Source organism: Homo sapiens, chromosome 2, assembly GCF_000001405.40.
Source record: "Homo sapiens chromosome 2, GRCh38.p14 Primary Assembly".
NCBI classification, from domain to species: Eukaryota; Metazoa; Chordata; class Mammalia; order Primates; family Hominidae; genus Homo; species Homo sapiens.
In genome coordinates, this window is record NC_000002.12 from 234,281,171 (window position 1) to 234,283,142 (window position 1,972).

The window sequence follows — 1,972 nt, forward strand, 5'->3', positions numbered from 1 at the left end:
AAGCAAAACTGTGACAACCAGATCCTTGGGGGTGGGCTAGAGTGCTCAGCACCATCGGGACTCTCTTTCTTTCTGATTTCTGACGTCTACTTGGCTTCACTTTGCAGGTAGGTGCTCTCTACCTGGTTAGAAGGACGTCTGCCAGCATCCATTCTGCATTCTCTCAGCTTAGCAATACCAGCGGAGGAGGAAGCTGCTTGTTGACAACATCTGAAGTTTAGCCTTCACCACCTTTTGACCAGGAGATCTAGGAACTACAAAGACATCCAAAATGGGTGGAGAAGGATGACAGGATAACAGCAAAACACACTCCCGTTTAGAAAGGGAAGCATGGGAGACACAGGCATCACTGATTTCTGAATTCCAACTCTGGGTCAAGCAGACCATGTGAGGCCCCCTACTCTTCAGAGCTCTTGGGGGTCAGGAATGATTCTTGATTAGGTTTGGATGCTGCCCTCTGAGGGAGCTGCCTTGCCCACTGTTCCTTGACTCTGCCCTCCAGGAGTCCTTTCCTTTTCCATCATCCTCCTTGCGTGCATCTGAAGTGAGGTGATCCCACTTGGAGGCTCCGGGGTCCCCAGCACACTTTCTGCTTGAGGCAAGTATGGAGTTCAAGGGTTTGGGAATAGATGCACCTTGTTAGTATGGGCCTGTGGTTGCCTTAATGCGCAACTTTCTTCACAGCCTGAAGCTTTTTTTTTTTTTTTTTTTTTTTTTTTGAGACAGAGTCTTGCTGTGTCACCCAGGCTGGAGTTCAATGGTGTGATTGCAGCTCACTGCAACCTCTGCCTCCCAGGTTCAAGTGATTCTCCCACCTCAGCCTCCTAAGCAGCTGGAACTAGAGGCATGCGCCACAACACCCGCCTAATTTTTTGGTTTGTTTATGTGTTTTGAGACGGAGTCTTGCACTGTCGCCCGGGCTGGAGTGCAGTAGTGCAATCTTGGCTCACTGCAACCTCCGCCTCCCAGGGTCAAGCGATTCTCCTGCCTCAGCCTCCCAAGTAGCTGGGATTACAGGTGCCCGCCACCATGCCCAGCTAATTTTTTGTATTTTTAGTAGAGATGGGGTTTCACTATGTTGGCCAGGCTGGTCTGAAACTCCTGACTATCATGATCTGCCCGCCTCAGCCTCCCAAAGTGCTGGGATTACAGGCGTGAGTCACAGCGCCCAGTGTAATTTTTGTATTTGTAGGAGAGACAGGGTTTCGCCACGTTGGCCAGGCTGGCCTCGAACTCCTGACCTCAAGTGATCCACCCCTTCGGCCTCCCCAAGTGTTGGGATTACAGGCGTTAGCCACCACGCCCAGCCTGAAGGCTTCTTATCTATTTGATTCCAACTGGTCTCCGCGAGCCTGTCCTCACATCTGCAGTTCTGCTCCCACACCCTTCTCGGATGGGTTCTCTTTCAGGCTTTCTCACACCCGTATCTACCTCTCCTAAGTGAAGGGGCTACATTCACATTGTTGGGAAACCCACACGCTTAGGCTCTCTTCTCTGAGGGTTTCTTCAGATTCGTCTGGATTTTTACCCAACTGGAAGGATTTGCTGGGTGCTGTTCCTCCAGGTTCTTCTTGATCATATTTTGTGTTTCTGCTGAAGAGGCATCTGGCTGATCCAACCCAGCAAGACCTTGAACTTTTGAGTTCTCCCTATTCTCTTGCATTTGTGTTTGAAGACTAGCCAGTTCCTCCGTGAGCTGTTCTCTCTTGTAACATATGGTCAAATGCAGGTCATTTCTAGCGTTCTGTTTTCCATGCTTTCCCCAACAACAACTACAAACTTATTAGGTGCCCATCTGCCTCTTCAACCATGATGGCAGCCTCCAGGTTCTGTCTCCTTGATGCCCACTGCTGATCCAACACAAATGCCAGGACCTTCAGGGTTTTTGTTTACAGTAGCACCCATTTCTAGTACTGATATACATAGTGGTCAAGATAAGTTAGATTATGGTGTGGTGATAACCCCAAATTTC